This window comes from Homo sapiens, chromosome 7 (assembly GCF_000001405.40).
Source record: "Homo sapiens chromosome 7, GRCh38.p14 Primary Assembly".
Taxonomy (NCBI): Eukaryota; Metazoa; Chordata; class Mammalia; order Primates; family Hominidae; genus Homo; species Homo sapiens.
Window position 1 is genome coordinate 34,861,478 of NC_000007.14, and position 18,070 is coordinate 34,879,547.

Below are 18,070 nucleotides of genomic sequence, written 5' to 3' on the forward strand. Positions count from 1 at the left end.
TTTCTTTTGCAGTAGTATGTATTGCCTTCTAACATACTGTACAATGTGCTTATTGGCTATGTTTATTGTTGATATCTCCCATGAGACAAAGATCTTTGTTTTATTCAATGTTGTATTCCCAAGGACAGAACCACACCCAAAATAGAGTAGATACCAATAAATATTAGCTTAATGAACGCACAGGTAATATTTACACATGGAGGGGCAGAGGAGAACATCAGCTTCCTGTAAGCAGCCTACTCCCAAGAGAAGGGGAAGGCAGAGCTAAGCATGCTTGGTTTATTCTCTGCAAATTCATGATGCATGGTTCAGCCATTCCTTTTCATCAGAGTGACTGAAGGGCAAATAGGAATTGGGAATGTGATATCTCCACAGTGAAAGAAGACATCAGGAATGGAAAAGAAGAACCCACCCCTGATATCCCTAACAGTTTGTTCTTAACTCATTTGCATTCAACTCCTAAGCCCATGCTCAGTTTAAGCCTGTGGTGATCCTCAGTGATCAGAAATTCCAGCAAGAGCATTCTGCTCCCTCTTCAACAGGCACTCCCCCAGTGCCAACCATTGCACCTGCACCCTTTGTTTCCTTATTGTTTCTCAGCTCCAAAGCCACCCTTTTATTCACTTCTCTTGATGGTGGGGTGAGTACTTTGCAAACCAAATTTCTCAGACTACCTCAATCATTGACTTCCTGTCTGCCAAAAGGAGATAGGCAGGAGACTGGAAGCAAGCAAGAGCGTAATTGCGGGAGTGGGAGTTGGGGGGTGGCAGTGGGCAGTTCTTCCTCCAAGCCCCAGCCTTGCCATCTCCTCAGTTACTAGCAGCATCCAGGCACTATTTGTCCTCAGTTGCATGGAGCTCACCCCCAGAGTCCCAGAATCAGCCCTGGGGCCTCCTCTGAACTCTTAGGATAACTCTACCCTTTATTTTTTGTTCCTCCAGTCTTAGGAATATTAGCAGCTTTCTGCAGTTAGACTCTCTATGTTACTTCTCTTTCCTGCTCTTTCATTCCTCCCATAGCCATGGGATCAGTTCCCTGCATTGAGTCTCTCTATCTAAAATACCTAGTGTGGTTTCTCTTTCTTTGCCTGGATGGACCCTAACTCATACAGCTTCTCTGTAGATACTTTTGGGAACATCAGTGGACAAGTTAGAATTCATCCCCAGGGAGCTCTGATGTGGGTCAGAAAATTTACTAATTAAATTTCTACAAGAGTGCAAATCCATTGCTTATTCCATTTCTCTTTCCTAAGTATGCCCTTCCACATTGTCCAATATAAGTGGGGTGACCATACACACCAATGCACCCAAGACAGTCCAGGTTTTTGCCTGTTATCCCAGCAAAATTATTAATATAGCCTCCTTTCTCTCTCAAAACTATCTAGTTTGGGTGATAAATTATATGGTCACTGTAAATATAGACCATCATATGTTCTACAGTGAAATTCAATGACGACATTAAGATACTACAGCAAGGAGGCATCGAGCTACCTGACTTCAAACTATACTACAAGGCTACAGTAACCAAAACAGCATGATACTGGTACCAAAACAGATATGTAGACCTATGGAACAGAACAGAGGCCTCAGAAATAATGCCACACATCTGCAACCATCTGATCTTTGACAAACCTGACAGAAACAAGCAATGGGAAAAGATTCCCTATTTAATAAATTGTGTTGGGGAAATAGGCTAGCCATATGCAGAAAACTGAAAGTGGACCCGTTCCTTATGCCTTATACAAAAATTAACTCAAGATCGATTAAAGCCTTAAATGTAAGACCTAAAACTATAAAAACCCTAGAAGAAAACCTAGGCAATACCATTAGGACATAGGTATGGGCAAAGACTTTATGACTAAAACACCAAAAGCAAAGGCAACAAAAGCCAAAATTGGTAAATGGGATCTAATTAAACTAAAGAGCTTCTGCACAGCAAAAGAAACTAACATCAGAGTGAACAGGCAACCTACAGAATGGGAGAAAATTTTTGCAATCTATCCATCTGACAAAGGGCTAATATCCAGAATCTACAAAGAACTTAAACAAACTTACAAGAAAAAACAACCCCATCAAAAAGTGGGCAAAGGATATGAACAGACACTTCTCAAAAACAGACATTTATGCAGCTAACAAACGTATGAAAAAAGTTCATCATCAATTGGTCATTAGAGAAATGCAAATCAAAACCAAAATGAGATACCATCTCATGCCAGTTAGAGTGGCAATCCTTAAAAAGCCAGGAAACAACAGATGCTGGAGAGGATGTAGAGAAATAGGAACGCTTTTACACTTTGGTGGGAGTGTAAATTAGTTCAACCATTGTGGAAGACAGTGTGGTGATTCCTCAAGGATCTAGAACCGGTAATACCATTTGACCCAGCAATCCCATTACTAGGTATATACCCAAAGGATTATAAATCATTCTACTATAAAAACACATGCACACATTTGTTTATTGCAGCACTGTTCACAATAGCAAAGACTTGGAACCAACCCAAATGTCCATCAATAGACTGGATAAAGAAAATGTGGCACATATACACCATAGAATACTATGCAGCCATAAAAAAGGATGAGTTCATGTCCTTTGCAGGGACATAGATGAAGCTGGAAACCATCATTCTCAGCAAACTAACACAGGAACAGAAAACCAAACACTGCATGTCCTCACTCCTAAGTGTCAGTTGAACAATGAGAACACATGGACACAAGGAAGGGAACATCACACACTGGAGCCTGTTGTGGGGTGGAGGGCTAGGGGAGGGATAGCATTAGGAGAAACACCTAATGTAGATGACGGGTTGATGGGTGTAGCAAACCAGCATGGCACGTGTATACCTATGTAACAAACCTGCACGTTCTGCACATGTATCCCAGAACTTAAAGTATAATAATAAAAAAAAAAGAAAAAAAAAAGACACTCCAGCAATAAAATACCAATTACAAGATGTTCCAAATTTGAATATAAACTCCTTCTCATCATGAATTTTCTGAAATTAAAATTAAATGATTAAGTTCAATGATTAATGTACAAAGATATTAAACCCCAAAGGAGTTGAAGTCCAAAATCATATTCTCTTCACCTTGTAATTAAAAGTTCAAAGAAAATTAATGTCCAAAATATATCCCAATTTCTTATCCAACTGCTTTGTTATATTTCTCAATGTTCCTAGGCCATGCACAAAATGTTGGAGTTGAGATGTCCAAATATAACTTCCTTTTTCCTCATGAGCATCTTGAACAGATTATAAAATAAAACAAAGAGAACAGAGAAGAGACTAAAACAACACCCTTATTACTAACAAATGTGACTTGTGCCTACAGGCAAGAAAGCCTGCTAACAATGAACTCTGGAACTGGTCTTCCCCACTGTGGCATAAACAGCTACTGTTCACCCATGCCTGTGTTTGTCCCCTCTTCCAGGCACAACTACACTATATCTTTCTCAGCCTCCCTTATGGTTAACTCTGTTCATGTCATTGAATTTTGGCCAATGGAACGTGGAAAAAAATTCTGCGCACCCTCCTAATATGGTCCATAAAAATTTCTCAAGTGTGTTTCATGCTTTCACACCCTCCCCTCATTTGCAAGCTGAATGAAGAGGACTCTCAGGGCTTAGAAGAGGGCAAAGCCACCAGATGGAAGAACACTAGGTCTCAGCATTACTGCATGGAATAGAGCCTGTTTCTTTACCACCAATCCTCATTGAACGGTGATATAAGTGAGAAACAAACATTTATTTTTGCTCAGCTACGGAATGTTTGGAAGTTGTTTGTTTCACTGGTTAGCCTATCCTGCCTGATACACCCACAAAATCTCTGGAAGGGCTGATGCGGGACAGGTTTTCCTGTGGCAGGAAGTGAACTGCTCAGGTGAGACAGAGACGCGGAAGAAACTTCTGACCCTATGGACAGCTCCCCCCATGAAAAAGAGGGCGAGGCTGAGCTGAGCATGCTCAGTAGAATCTTTCCACATTCAATCCAAGCGACTTAAGCCCCTCTTTCTTCCCTGGTAGGAGTGAGGGAGCTTCTTTCCAGAGGCTAAAATAATCACAGCGCCACATGGAAGGAAACAGCTCCCCACTGAAAATGTGTTTTCTTTTTGTGCAGCTCTTTTCTTGATCTCTAGAAATCTTTCCCTTTGTTCCCCATCAGATTCTATATACTGTTTCTCAAGACACACCCCCCTTAGCATCCTTAGCAGGTATAAGACAGAGGGGCACTACATTTCTCTCTTCTGACTAGCCCATGAATGCCAGTCACATGGTCCCCTTTGGGCAAGCTTGGGTGAGAGTTAAAGGAGAAACAGCCCTTCTTGACCTCTCTCCCCACCTGCTCCAGATTCCAGAGTCCATGAAGGGTCATTCTCAGCAGACATAATAAGGATCCTGGATGCATTCTTCTTTTTAACAATGAGGTCATTTCCTCACAAATCACCAGGCTCTTCCTAAGGGAAGTTTGCACCCACAGCAATGCCCAGAGTCCACCTGCTTTACAGACCCACCTTCCTTCCCTGCCTTTATTTGAAAAGGAGAGAGAAAGGCTCCAATCTTCATCATAACAAAACTAATGCTGGGATGAATCCACTTCAATGTGCTTGCCATGCTTGTAGTCCCTACTGAGGGACAATACCCTGCATAGCCCTGGATACTTGGACCTACGTTTTGTCCCACACGGCCTCCACCTCCCAACCAAAACAGATGAGGCAGAGGTGGATGCCGATGGATTGGTCAGCACACTATGGCTGAGAGATAAGCCAGTTAACGGGAATTGAAACCCAAAGTTCATGATGTAGAATTCAAATGAGATAAGTCACAATGAACCATCTCAAAACCATGAAACAGCAGGACCCGTGAGTAAACAGAGGAAGTCAGCTCATGGAGAAAGGACAAGGGCACAGTTGTAGACAGACATGCAAATGATGAGAGGATAGCGGAGGGACAGGAGGCAGAGCGCACAGCCTGGAGGAAACTATTCACAGAGATATCTCAGAACCTGTCCGTTGTTCAGTGCTTTCTTTCCATGTCTATGTTTATAATAAGCCCCTTTTTCCTTGACCTGACTTGGGTGGTCAAGGTCACTATGTCTTGCCTGATTGAGACAACTCAGTTGCACAATTGCATAATTAGACTGTGATAAGTGATCTAGAAAACCATGATCATATGGGCTTCTCCTCTTCCTACCTAAAATAGCAGATGCCTTGAGGTAAAAACTTTGGGAAAAGGGTATGAATAAGCACTAGATAGTTTTGCAAGATTTGCACTCTAGGGAAAAGGAGAGTAAGCTAGGTGAATTATTGGGATATTCTTTAGGTTACTATGAGATTTGGAGGTTACAGTTAGAAAAAAAAGTTTCCTGCAGCAAAACCCATGCCAAATTGAAAAATTCTTTAGACCACATGGGAGGTCTTCAAGGAAATCATGGTGCTGGTTAAAAATAATAATAATAAAAGATAAAAGATTTTGACTTCTCTTCTTCTGGGGATGGGAGAACTAAAGCCAGGCCTCAGTGTCATCTTTCCACCCAGGAGCAAGACTGAGCCCTTCCACTGTGGGACATTGAGGCCTGAATAAGACCCTTCCAAGCAAAGGTGAAAGAGGCTCTGAGCACAAGTACCCATAAACATGGGCTGCGGTAACATAGGAACCCAGAACCCTCATCATCAAAGCCAATGAATGTCTCTAAGAAAGGGAGTGATTGTCCTGACAGAGTTTAAGAGCCAAAAGGCTTTGTGGACTCAACCTCCAAAACAGAGCAGATGGGAGGAGGGATGGTGAGAAGGCTTATTCCCAAGCCAAGCCCTGGAGAAGATGGCAAAGTGGCAGGTGGAAAGCGTGGTAGATGTGGAGTCCCATGTGAGATAGGATATCCCAGCTGATGCCTCACAAATCCTCTCACTTGCTGCCTCTCATTGCGCCTCCTGTTTCTATCTTCAGTAAAGGCTTGAGGCTATTTGGAGCCCAGAAGCCAGCAGCTGAAGGGAACAGGCAATTGGCCAGGCCAGCTCCTCAGCCCAAGGAAGGCAGGCCTGGGGCAATGCCCACTGGCCAGTAACATCAGAGGGCCCACTGGAAACACATCCAAGTCCCCGTGACTCACAACTGTCATAGCTGTGAAGTAGTGTCATCTTTCTTCCTGAAGATTTCCGATATCACCCCAGGAGCAACAGGGATGATTGATTTTTGCTCTGGAAATAAGTAATGGGTCACTGGGGAGACAAATAGAACTATTGCTTCCTTAAGAAGCAATCTCTCTTAAGAAATTATAAAGCAAGTGGCTCCCCTGCTCAGTGGTGTCTGTGGCATTGCACTCCCAGCCTTTCAGGATAAGTCTAAAATAGTTTGGCACTCAGTTCCAAGCTCACCTATGGAAAAGGAGGAACTCCAAAATCTGTAGAATAAATAAAGTAATAAGGTATGCCTGCCCTAAATGGAGAAAGTCCAGCCAGTATTATTAAAAACTTTCAGTCTTTAAAATTTATAACATGGAAAGCTGTACTATATTGAAGTATCTGAGTCTCCCCAAAAACAATGACATTAGGGAGGAAATCAAATGAGAAGAATCTAAGATTGACAGTTCAACTAGCCAAATCGCCAAATAATCTGCAGGCACAGTGGGAGAGTGGACTGTTATTAAATAAACCTCTGGTGAATTTTCTTTATTAAAGAGCAAGAAGTCAGCTGGTTTCAAAGCCCAGGGAATGTGGGGATGTAGACCCTTTCAGCGATAGCCAAAAGTGAGAGTTAGGAAGGGTCTAAAACCTCTGCTCCCCCTTCACTAGAAAGCCAGCCCTGGGGAGGGAGGGACCAGGCAGCAGCCCCACTCTGCACCACACAACACTCTGTTACTCCCGCCTGGCCTATTAGTCTCTCCCTTAGCCTGACCTAAGTAACTCTAACCCAAACAAGGAGAAAATCAAAGTTGGGAATTACAGCATTCCTGACCAAGAAAGATTGAGGGTCAACCTGCAAAAAGTAAGCCCCAAAGTCAAGGAAAGGGAATGAGATCTGGACACAGAGCTGCACTCAACATCTAGCATGACCCTCAGCAGGATGCACCACTAGGCACAGTAGTGTCTACGCTTGTCCAGCAGACATGTCAGGGTGAACTTGCTCTCGGCAGAAGAGAGAAACCTCCCACTAAGGGAAGAAGGAGCTGGGTGCATGAGATTGGCCCAGTAAGACAAACCTTCTCCTCAAAATAAGAGGGGCAGCTCTCACAGTATTGTAGTCTTGGTCACTCGTGTTTGCCCCCTGAGTCGGTTTCCATGGACTCCCGTTTAAACCCTGGGGGCAGGCAGGCAGGGTCACTAGAAGTCTGTGAGGCATTAGGACTACTCTGTCCCCCTCTGACAAAATATAACACAGATGGAGAAAGAGGTGCGGCTGACCCTCAAATCTCCAAAGGCCTGAATCAGGGTGGCCCGGGGCAACAAACTGGCTACTTGCAACAAGCCTGCTTGCAGAAGACAGGACTTCAGCAGGAGAGGAGACCAACCACTCCTGAGGACCTGCCCCTTGCTGTCTTTCATTGCACCTACTGTTTCTATCATTTCTATCATTGATAAAGGAAAGATGTTGCATGCACCACTCTATTTCACATTTAAGTTCAAGGTTCTGGGGAAATGAGTCCCACAACACTGGCAGAACGAATGTCTACTCCACGACAGGGCTGCCACAGTATGGTAGCAGTCAGGACTTTTCATCAATGACAGCCTCTGGAAACCATGGGGAGAAAGTGTCCTGCATAACCAAGCGGAGGCAAAAACCAGGGAAGCGTGGATTAGACAATGAAACGATTCAAGTGAAACAACAAAACAATTCAAGGGGAGGAAATAAAGGCCCAGTCATTCACAGTACTGCAAAGTGATTAATCTAAAATGCAAATTTGATGACATCAGATCCTATTTAAAATCTCTGCCTTTTCTCCGTTCCCACACACCCTCTTCTATCAGACATAATGAACTACTGCTAGGATTATTGCAGTAGTCTTCTGACTGTCACCAGTGTCACCTCACTGTACTCCTCCACTTCCCCACTGCTTTCACAACAATCAGTGTAAATCTCCAAACTCATCAGGGCCCTCCTTACCTCTAGCAATGTTCCCGGACTTCCTATACCCTTGGGGCGAAAGTCTACACACATTATAGGCCTTATAACAGCCTCCATCCATTCATTCATTCATTTAACAAATATTTATCAAGTGCCAACTCTATCCCAGACTACTGTTAAGAGTGGTAGGGAACAGTAAACCAAAGACCAAAAGTCCCTGACTTTAGGAAGTTACATTCTGTGGGCAAAATTTAGCACCCCTCTGTGTTCAGCTCTTCTGCATTCAGTGGTGTGGGCACAGGTTTTTACCAGCTCATGGAGACCAAGGGTGCACATCTCTTCCCTACTCTGCATTCAGTGACATTGCTTTGGTAGCTTGAAATCAACCTGGGTGGGAATATTTACACCGTGGAAATCAGAAGTCACTACAAATAAGCAGACACTAGGCTTTTTCTTTTTCAAGAACAGGTACGTGAACATTTAGCAGCATACTTTTGTACCTTAGTCCAGGCTGCTCTCTGTGCCTAGAAATCTCTTCTTCTTGTCATCTGCCTGATGAATACCTACCTTCAAGACTTAGTTCAAATATCAAAGCAGTTTTGGACTCAAGAGGGCGAGCAGACTCCTCCTCCCTCTGAGCTGCCTCTGTACCATGCGCACACCCAGAACACCTTCAGCAGTTACCTAGTCATGTGACTGTCACCCCACTGTACTGTAAATTTCTTGGAGCCAGGGATGAGTCAGGCATGACTCATCAATATCCCCAGCCCCTGGTACAGTGCCTGGCCCAGTTCCTGGACCACTCTAAAATAAATTCCTGTTGAATACATTTGGAGCCAGGAAAAAATATGTATCTTATTTTAACAGCTGTCATCAGACTTCATTTTAGGAAAGGAATCAAGTATGAGGTTGAATGAGCCCAAATTGTGGAAATGACCATGGGATATTTAGGTATAGTAATATGTAACATTGAGATTTCCTTTTCTGAGCTAAAATTATTCCATACCTACAAGATATTCACAATGTGAATGCCTTATGTAAATGGTTGGACTGGTGAATGTTAAGAAAAATGGCTGAGTTCTATAACTGAGTTAATGGGGTGCCAAACAGGGAAGATATGAGCCACAAGCATGGGGATCCCTAGACTGAATTTGCTCAGAATAAGGAAGCTGGAGCCAGAAGTGACCACAATTAATAAGCCCCCTGGGAATTTATGAAAATCTTGTGAGGCTCTGGATACTCCAGAATCCTTGGGCTAGGGCTTTAAATTCGTCTCATCTAGACATGAAAAAACAGGGTGGCCTAATTTGACAGCTTAATCAGGAAGAAGTGGGTAACATGGATGGATGGATGGATGGATGGATGGATGGATGAATGGATGGATGGATAGATGGATGGATGGATAGATGGATGGATGGATGAAAGGAAGGGTAGATGAACAGATAGATGGATATCTGAAAGCAGAAGTTGTGAATGGCTTAGTAGTGGAGGTGGCAAGTGAGATTATATTAGGCCATTCTTGCATTGATATAAACAAGTATCTGGGTCTGGGTAACTTACAGATAAAACAGATTTAATTGGTTCATGGTTCTGCAGGCTTTACAGGAAGCATGATGCTGTCATCTGCTTCTGCTGAGGGCCTCACTAATCTTACAATAATGGCAGAAGGTGACAGGGAACCAGTATGTCACATGGCAAGAGAGAGAGGGAGGAGGCACCACACTCTCTTAAACAACCAGATGTCATGTGAACTACCAGAGCAAGAACTCACTCATCATTAGGGGATGGGGCTAAGACAGTCAGGAGGGATCCACCCCCACGACACAAACATCTCCCACTAGGCCCCATCTCCAACATTGGGGATTACATTTCAACATGAGATTTGGAGGGGACAGACATCTAAGCCATATCATTTCACCTCTGGCCCCCAAATATCATGTCCTTCTCACATTACAAAATACAATCATACCTTTCCAGTAGTCCCCCAAAGTCTTAAGTCTTTCCAGCATCAAGTCCAAAGTCATCAGAGACTCATTCTCCTTCCACCATCAGCCTGTAAAATCAAAGACAAGTTATTTGCTTCCAAGATACAATGGTGGCACAAGCATTGGGTAAACATTCCCATTCCAAAAGAAAGAAATTCACCAAAAGAAAGGGGCAGTAGGCACCACACAAGTCTAAAACCAAGAAGGACAGTCATCACGTTTTAAAGCTCCAAAATAATCCCCTTAGACTTCATGTCCCGCACCCTGGTATGATGGGTGGGCTCCCAAGGCCTTGGGCAGACCCACCCCTGTGGCTTTGCAGGGTGCAGTACACATGGCTGTTCTCAAGAGTTGGAGTGGAGTACTTGTGGCTTTTCCAGGCAGAGTTTGCAAGCTGCCAATCTACCATGTTGGCATCTGGAAGGCAGTGGCCCCCTTCCCATAGCTCCACTAGGCAGTGTCCCAGTGGGGACTCTGTGTAGAGGCTCCAATCCCACATTTCCCCCTGCCATTGCCCTAGTAGAGTTTCTCTGTTGGGGCTCCACCCTGCAACAGGCTTCTGCCTGGGCACCAAGCTCTTCCATAATCATCTGAAATCTAGGTGGAAGCCTCATTCATGCTTACATTCTGAGCATCTGAAGACTTAACATCACGTGACAACTGCCAAGGCATGGCTTGCACCCTCTAGAGCTGCAGCCCAAGCTGTACCTTGGCCCCTTTGAGTCATGCCTGAAGCCAGAGTGGCCAGGATGCAGGGAGCAGTGTGGCAGCACAGGGAAGCAAGGCCGTAGGCCTGGCCCCCTAAGCCACTTTTCTCCTAGGCCTTTGGACCTATGATGGAAGGGACCACCCCAAGACTTCTAAAGTGCCTTCAAGGCCTTTTTCCCATTCTCTCAGGTATTAACAATTGGCTCCCCTTAGGTCAGGCTAATTTGCCTAGCAAGTGGTTGCTCCACAGCGTGCTTGAACTTCTCTCCTGAAAATGATTTTCTTTCCTGCTACATGGCCTGTTTATTAGTCCATTTTCATGCTGCTGATAGAGACATACCCAAGACTGGGTGATCTATTCAGGAAAAAGGGTTTAATGGACTTACAGTTCCACATGGCTGGGGAGGCCTCACAATCATGGTGGAAGGCAAGGAGAAGCAAATTATGTCTTACATGGATGGTAGCAGGCAAAGAGAGAGAGAACTCCTCTTTATAAAACGATCAGGTCTCATGAGACTTATTCACTATCACAAGAACAGCACAGGAAATACTTCCCCCCATGATTCAATTATCTCACACTAGGTCTCTCCCACAACACATGGGAATTCAAGATGAGATTTGGGTGAGGACACAGCCTAACCATATCAGCTAGCATGAAAATTTTCCAAATTTTTATGCTGTGCTTCCCTTTTAAATATAAGTTCCAGTTTCAGGTCATTTCTTTGCTTGCACATATAAACACTGGCTGTTTGAAGCAACTAGGCCACTTCTTGAACACTTTGCTGCTTAGAAATTTCTACTGCCAGATACCCTAGGCCATCACTCTTAAGTTCAAACTTCTATAGAGCCTTAGGGCCTGGACAAAATGCAGCCAAGCTCTTCATTAAAGCATAACATGGGTGACTTTACTCCAGTTCCTAATAACTTCATTTCCATCTGAGACCTCATCAGCCTGGACTTCAATATCTCTATCAGCATTTTGGTCACAACCATTTAGCCAGTCTACAAGTTGCAAACTTTCCTTCATCTTCCTGTCTTCTTCTGAAACCTCCAAATTCTTCCAATCTCTGCCCATTACCCAGTTCCAATGCTGGATCCACATTTTTAGGTACCTTTTTAGCAATGCCCAACTCCTCAGTACTAATTTTGTGTTATGCCATTCTTACACTGCTATAAAAAAAAGTACCTGAGGCTGGCTAATTTATAGAGAAAAAAAGCTTTAATTGGCTCATGATTCTGCAGGCTTTACATGAAGCATGGTGCTGGCACCCACCTCTGGGGAGGCCTCAGGGAGCTTACACCATGGTGAAAGGTGAAGGAGGAGCCAATGTGTCACATGGTCAGAGCAGGAGCAAGAGAGAGGTGGAGGTATCACACTCTTTTAAACAACCAGATCTCACATGAACTACCAGAGCAAGAACTCACTCTTCAACAAGCAGATAGGGCTAAGCCATTCATGAGGGAGCCACCTCCTACCAGGCCACCACCTCCAACATTGGGGGTTACATTTCAGCATGAGATTTGGAGGGGACAAACATCCAAACCATAACAGAGATGAAAGCCAAGACAGCTGGACTAGGTGGGGCAAGCCAGGAACAGGCTTCAGAAACAGCCTAGGCAGGAGGCAGGAAGACAAGACGGCAGGAAGCAGTGCAGAACAAAGCAGGCTCCTCATCATTCAACCTCCCCTGAGTGCAGCAAAGGGGCCTTATTGTCAGCCCCTAACTGATCATTGATAACTAAAGTTATAACAACTCATACCTGTAAGGGCCATGGTGAGTTAGAGCTGGCAAGAGCCCTAATGATACACAGTCTTCTCTTGAAAGAGGAGAAGACTGAGGCCCAGAGAAGTGAGTAAATTTCCCAACAAGCAGAAAGTTGAGACTGGAATCTGGCTTCCCACCCCAGCCCAGTGCTCTTGGAACTAGAGGACGGTCCTCACCCAGTCAGCTAAGGGGAGCCTTGGCATGCTGGCCACCACCAGCCCAGTGATGCTAGGAAAGTTGCAGTGCTTATCTGTGTGCACCTCCCTTTGCTCAAATGTAATGTAGAAACAATAATATTGCCTGTCAGGATCTTCTTGTAAGAACTAAATTACTTAATATTTTAAAACATAGTGGTGTCATATTTGAGCTCACATTACCCTAAGATTCACCCTACCATCAGGCTGCTACAAGGAATTCAAAGATTCCTGGGTAGAGACCTGATGAAAATGGGCACCGGTTAAAATAAAAAAAGGAGGGATAATTTGGGGGTGGGGGTGTCATTTAATGTTGTCCCCAGGTCCTACCCCTGGAATTGCGCAAGGGCCGCAATAGTCAGAAATGGATTATTTCATGGGATGTTCAATGAAACCTCAGTTAAACCGTGAGACCATCTTGTCTTATTGCTTAAAACCACTGAAAGCTGAAAGGGTTGGATCTTTGGAGCTTCTGGGTAACATCCTCTGAGGACCCTAGGAATGGTGAATGAGGGAGGAAGGGAGTAGGGAGAGAATAATTTAAAGTGAGCAGAGCCAGGCAAACTCTCCCTGCATGAGAAACTAACAGGAAAACCCAGGTCCCATGTGAGTACCAAGTTAAATGACCCCAGCAGGCCATGTTGGTTCCCTTTCCCCTTTCTGGACTTACTGCTCCATCAAGGCTAAGCAGACCATTGGCTCTCCCTTTTCCTCTGTTCTCCTGGCTCCAACTACCTCTGCTTTTTTCAGCAATAGATGTATTTTTCAAGGATCCTGCTCCTGGGAAGTACTTCCTCTATCACTTATCTCACCTGGTGCACTATACCTAATTATCAGCTTAATTGCCTGCTTCCACCACTGACCAGTTACAATCAGGTATATTCTATTCTCGTCCCTATGGCATTATCATTCCAAAACAATAGTAGACACTCTTTGCATATTTATTGGATGAATGAATTAATGAATGAATGCATGGAACTCTTCATGACAATGAAATTCAGGCCCTAGTCCCACACATAAGTAATTAAAGGTCAAAGTGACCATACTGAGCAAGTTCCTGAGCCTTTGCTAGTAAAAAACAGGGCCCTTGGAGCAACATTGGTCTTTCTTGGAAGCTTAGTAAAAATACAGACTCTCAGGCTGAATCTAAACTTGCATTTTAAAAAGATCCCCAGATGATTCCCACACATTGAAGATTGAGAAGCCCTCTTCTAAGGGGTAACGTCTTCCAGAGAGTTTAGCTGCTTCCGGCGCCCTACCTCAAGGGTCTGATTCAAGGAATGAGATGGAAGGCTGCAAATTCAGGCAGATCACTAAGTTCTCTGGCCCTGGGGCTCCATCATCAGTCTACCCTCCACCCCAGATTGGCCTAGAGATCCCCAAATGTGAGGCAACGAATCAAGCGCTCCCTGAGAGGGTGTCGAGCCCCAGTGCCTCCTGGAGGCCTCCAGCTGTGCGGAGTCATGCTTTTGGCAGCACCTGGCTGCTATTGTTAGGAGAGAATGAGGAGCTGCAGGGACAGTGGCACTGTACATGCTGACTAAAAGGCGGGGCTCCTATCTGCATTTGGAATGACATACCCAATTCTATTTGGGAAAGAAGCACAATGACCCTTTATTAAAGGATTTCAATGGCAGAAACTAGTCAAATGGACCAGGAAATGATTAAGAGACAAAAGTCAAGGCATTGTGTGTGCACCATGCTTAGCCCAGTCCTGAAAGCCCTATTATAATGGCCACTGTTCCTGTAGCCCCTCCTGAGCCCCACCACCCTCCTCAGAAACACTGTGGCTCCTTGGACACACTGCAAGGCCTATTTGTCTCTCCTCAAGGAAAAGGGTGGAAAGCTACAGCAAACTTTGCCAGGGACTGGTAGGGATGGTGGGGCAGGGAGAGATGAAGGGGCAAAAGACAGGTGGGACAGGAGGTGACAGCCATAGACCACAAGCGGATCAGGGAAGGATGCAGACGGCAGAATTTGTAAATGTTGTACTGCAGCTTGGAAGGGAGGAGAGAAAGAAGAGGGAAGGGAAATATCACTGCTGTCCCACATCATGGAGCAAGATGTCAGGAAGCCCAAGTTCAAAACCCTTACCCCACATACTGGCTATGTGACTAAGGCATTTTGCTTATGCTTTTTGGATCTCATTTTCCTGGTCTGCAACATGCAGATGCTGATATTAGCTGTACGTGGTGATATGCCAATGAAATTAACTGAAATGAAGCATAGGAAAGTACTTAGCACAGTTCTTGACACATAAACTGTGAATTCTAATTCAGAAAGAACTAAAAATTGCTTCCTTTGCCTGTCAACTAGTACATACAGCACCGCCCCAGTCCTGCCCATGTCACCCCCTGAGAAAGGCTTAAGGCATGATTCATCTCAACATATTAGAGGTTGGTGCAAAAGCTGTTGCAGTTTTTGCCATTACTTTTAATACAACCTAATATTTGTATTTAAGTGGGGACTTCAAAAGAGTCAATGGCTTCTGTTTCAAAAGAAAGACTCTCTAATCATGGAAATGGTATCAGGAGGTCCGAGAAGGACCTAGGCTGATATCTCTTGAGTCATGACCTCTATGGGACCACTTTCCTACTCAGCCTCTGTCTGAGACCATTGAATATGATCTGAATCCAGCTTTCTTTGAGCAAGGTTAGAGAGAAATGCTCTGACAGCAGAAAAAGACTTGGAATGCCAGGAGCTCTGCTGCAGGACTCCAGCAGTGAGGGTCAGTGGGTGGCAGGAGTCACTGGGGAATCAGGCCTGGGAGTCACGGCTGCAGGTCACATGGCAGAGCCTGAGTCCCCCATACAGACACACAACCTGGGCCTGCCCCCCACTCCTGGACAGTAGAGACCCGTAACCACTGCTCCATAGGAGTTGGGAAGTTAGAAGGTCTACATTTGGTTCATGAACCACAAGATGGGGCCACCAAGATGACAATCATTCTGATGGCCGAAAGGATCTGGATCTCAGCATGGACAGTGTAGCCACTGACCACTGATGAGCCACAATTCTGATGGGGTGGGGCCAGGAAGGTAATGTTCTGACAGGTGGTGGGACTTGGATGCATGGGGGTGTGGGGGTGGCAAGAGCACAGAGCCAAGCTGAGATCAAAATGGTGGCCCTTAGGGCCCCTTATCCAAAACCTGACACAAAGAAGGTGGCCCACTCCTGCCTCCTTGCAGACAGTCTTGAGGAGAGGGCAGTGGAAGACAAGACAAGGGCTTCTAGAGAGAGTGTGGCAGCCAGGCCCCAGATGTTGGGACAAGTGTCACTGCACTATTTGGGGGTCTGGGAAGGGGATGGAGGTCAAGGTCAGAGGCACAGCCTCAGAAAAGCTGGACGGAGCAATAGTGAGTGCCCAGGTAGCAGACTACACACACCTGATGAGGACTGGTCCACCCACTCGAGGAGTCCAGGGAGACCAGAGGCAGAGGGGTCAGTTGGCTGAGAGGCGGCCGTCAGGGTAGAATTGGTGACAGATATGGAAGAACATGTTGGTGCCCATTAGAATCATAAAACTGAAATGGCTGCAGAGTCACTAGAGTAATTCTAAAGCCTCCAGGGAGGCTTTGAGTCAGGTGCTCAAAGATGCTGTCCACATTCAGCTGGAGTGGCCACAATGCCAGTTGTCACTTCAAAACAGACACCCAGAAGAGGCAGCAGGGCCCAGCCCTTAGGGAAGAGTTGGAGAAGATGAATGAAGCAGAGCTGTCACCCAAAATAAAAGGCTATTTGTGGTGGTATTAAGTACAAAGTGAAGAACCGAGGCGGGAGGTAGACTATATCTTATGAGAAATGACCACAGTGAGGTCACACATTCCTTCCTTTTATGCAAATAGGAAGACCCAGGTCCCTATACATTTCAATAAGCCTTTCTTCTTTCCCAGGGTCATCCGTCTCCGTCAGCTCCAGGAGGCTGCGCTAATGCTCTGCCCTCAACGAGAGAACTGGAAGGGTACTTGGCCAGGTGTACCTTCCTGGGCTCTTCCAAGGTGACAGCTCTCACCCTGTGCTGCAGGTGGCCCTGTGCCTGGTGCCACTTCTCACTGCTTACCAGGGCACAAGGACACCAGTGGTTCCCAAAATGGGTCACAGCAGGATGGCCTGCATCAGATTCACCAGGGAGGGCTATAAGAAGGCAGACTTCTTCTTTTTCTTTCTTTTTTTTTTTTTTTTTTGAGACAGAGTTTACTCTTGTTGCCCAGGCTGGAGTGCAATGGTGCGACCTTGGCTCACTGCCACCTCCACCTCCCGGGTTCAAGCAATTCTTCGGCCTCAGCCCCTACAGTAGCTGGGATTACAGGCGCCTGCCACCACGCCTGGCTGATTTTTTGTACTTTTAGTAGAGACGGGGTTTCACCATGTTGGCCAGGCTGGTGCTGAACTCCTGTCCTCAAGTGATCCACCCGCCTCAGCCTCCCAAAATGCTGGGATTACAGGTGTGAGCCACCGTGCCTGGCAAAGAAGGCAGACTTCTAAACCTAGAAATTCTGATGCAATAACATGCAGGAAAGAGCCCAGGAATTTGCAAAAATGTTTCAACTCCGCAGGCAATTGTGAAGCACGGCCAAATTTGGAAAATATTGATCTACACAAAACAATACAACTATCCAAATATTAAAAATAACTTCACAAAAGGTAGCTAAGAGTGTGTGTCCAATTTTGTAAATATATATGCAATATACTTTTTAGTATATAATAAATGTATAACTCCGATTCTGTAAACACACACACACTCAAGCATGCGCACATATCTGAGTTGTAGGATGATAGAGGTTTTTCTTCTTTATTCCTTTCTCAACTGACTTTCTATAATAAACACGTATTCTGTTCGTAATGAAAATATGATTTTGTGAGTGCTGGGGAGCAGATTATGACATATTTGGACTCCCAGAGTGGCTTAGCTCAGACTCTCCGTGTGTGGGTTTCCTAGAAATGCAACGCCTCCCAGAGAGGCGTGCTGTCCCCTTCCTTTCTTCTGAAGAGTGTTTGTATGTGTTTGTTTCAATACACTCTTCATTCTGACTAGCAGACTGCATGGCTGGCTTTTGTAAATGAACACTCATTTTACTCAATTAAATTAATATATTGACTTTTTTTTTCCACAAGAGTTGAGGAAGAGATCAGGGCTGGGGGGCTGGGCATGCATTCAGGATAGGGCTCTAGTCAGCAGGAAATGAAAGAGCTGAGCAAGGAAACTGAGGTTGATATCAACATGGTGGGGAGGAGAGGCTGCTGTGCGGAGGCTCCCCTGTGCTGCAGGTCGCCCTGTGCCTGGTGCCAGGGGTCTCCCTGGGGACCCCAGACCCCTGTCAAGCCATAGCAGCGTCATGCCAGGGCTGAGTCTGCAGTTGCTCTC

General features: G+C 45.2%; 1 protein-coding gene across 2 annotated transcripts in view; it reads left to right on the top strand.

Annotated features, from left to right (window-relative positions):
* Window positions 1-16,855, top strand: part of NPSR1 (neuropeptide S receptor 1) — a 220,115-nt gene extending 203,260 nt beyond the window's left edge. For both annotated transcript variants that reach the window (NM_207173.2, NM_001300933.2), the window contains exon 9: window positions 16,599-16,855. In NM_207173.2, the coding sequence (NP_997056.1) occupies window positions 16,599-16,707 (109 nt within the window). In that variant the 3' untranslated portion in view covers window positions 16,708-16,855. The remainder of the gene's footprint in view (window positions 1-16,598) is intronic.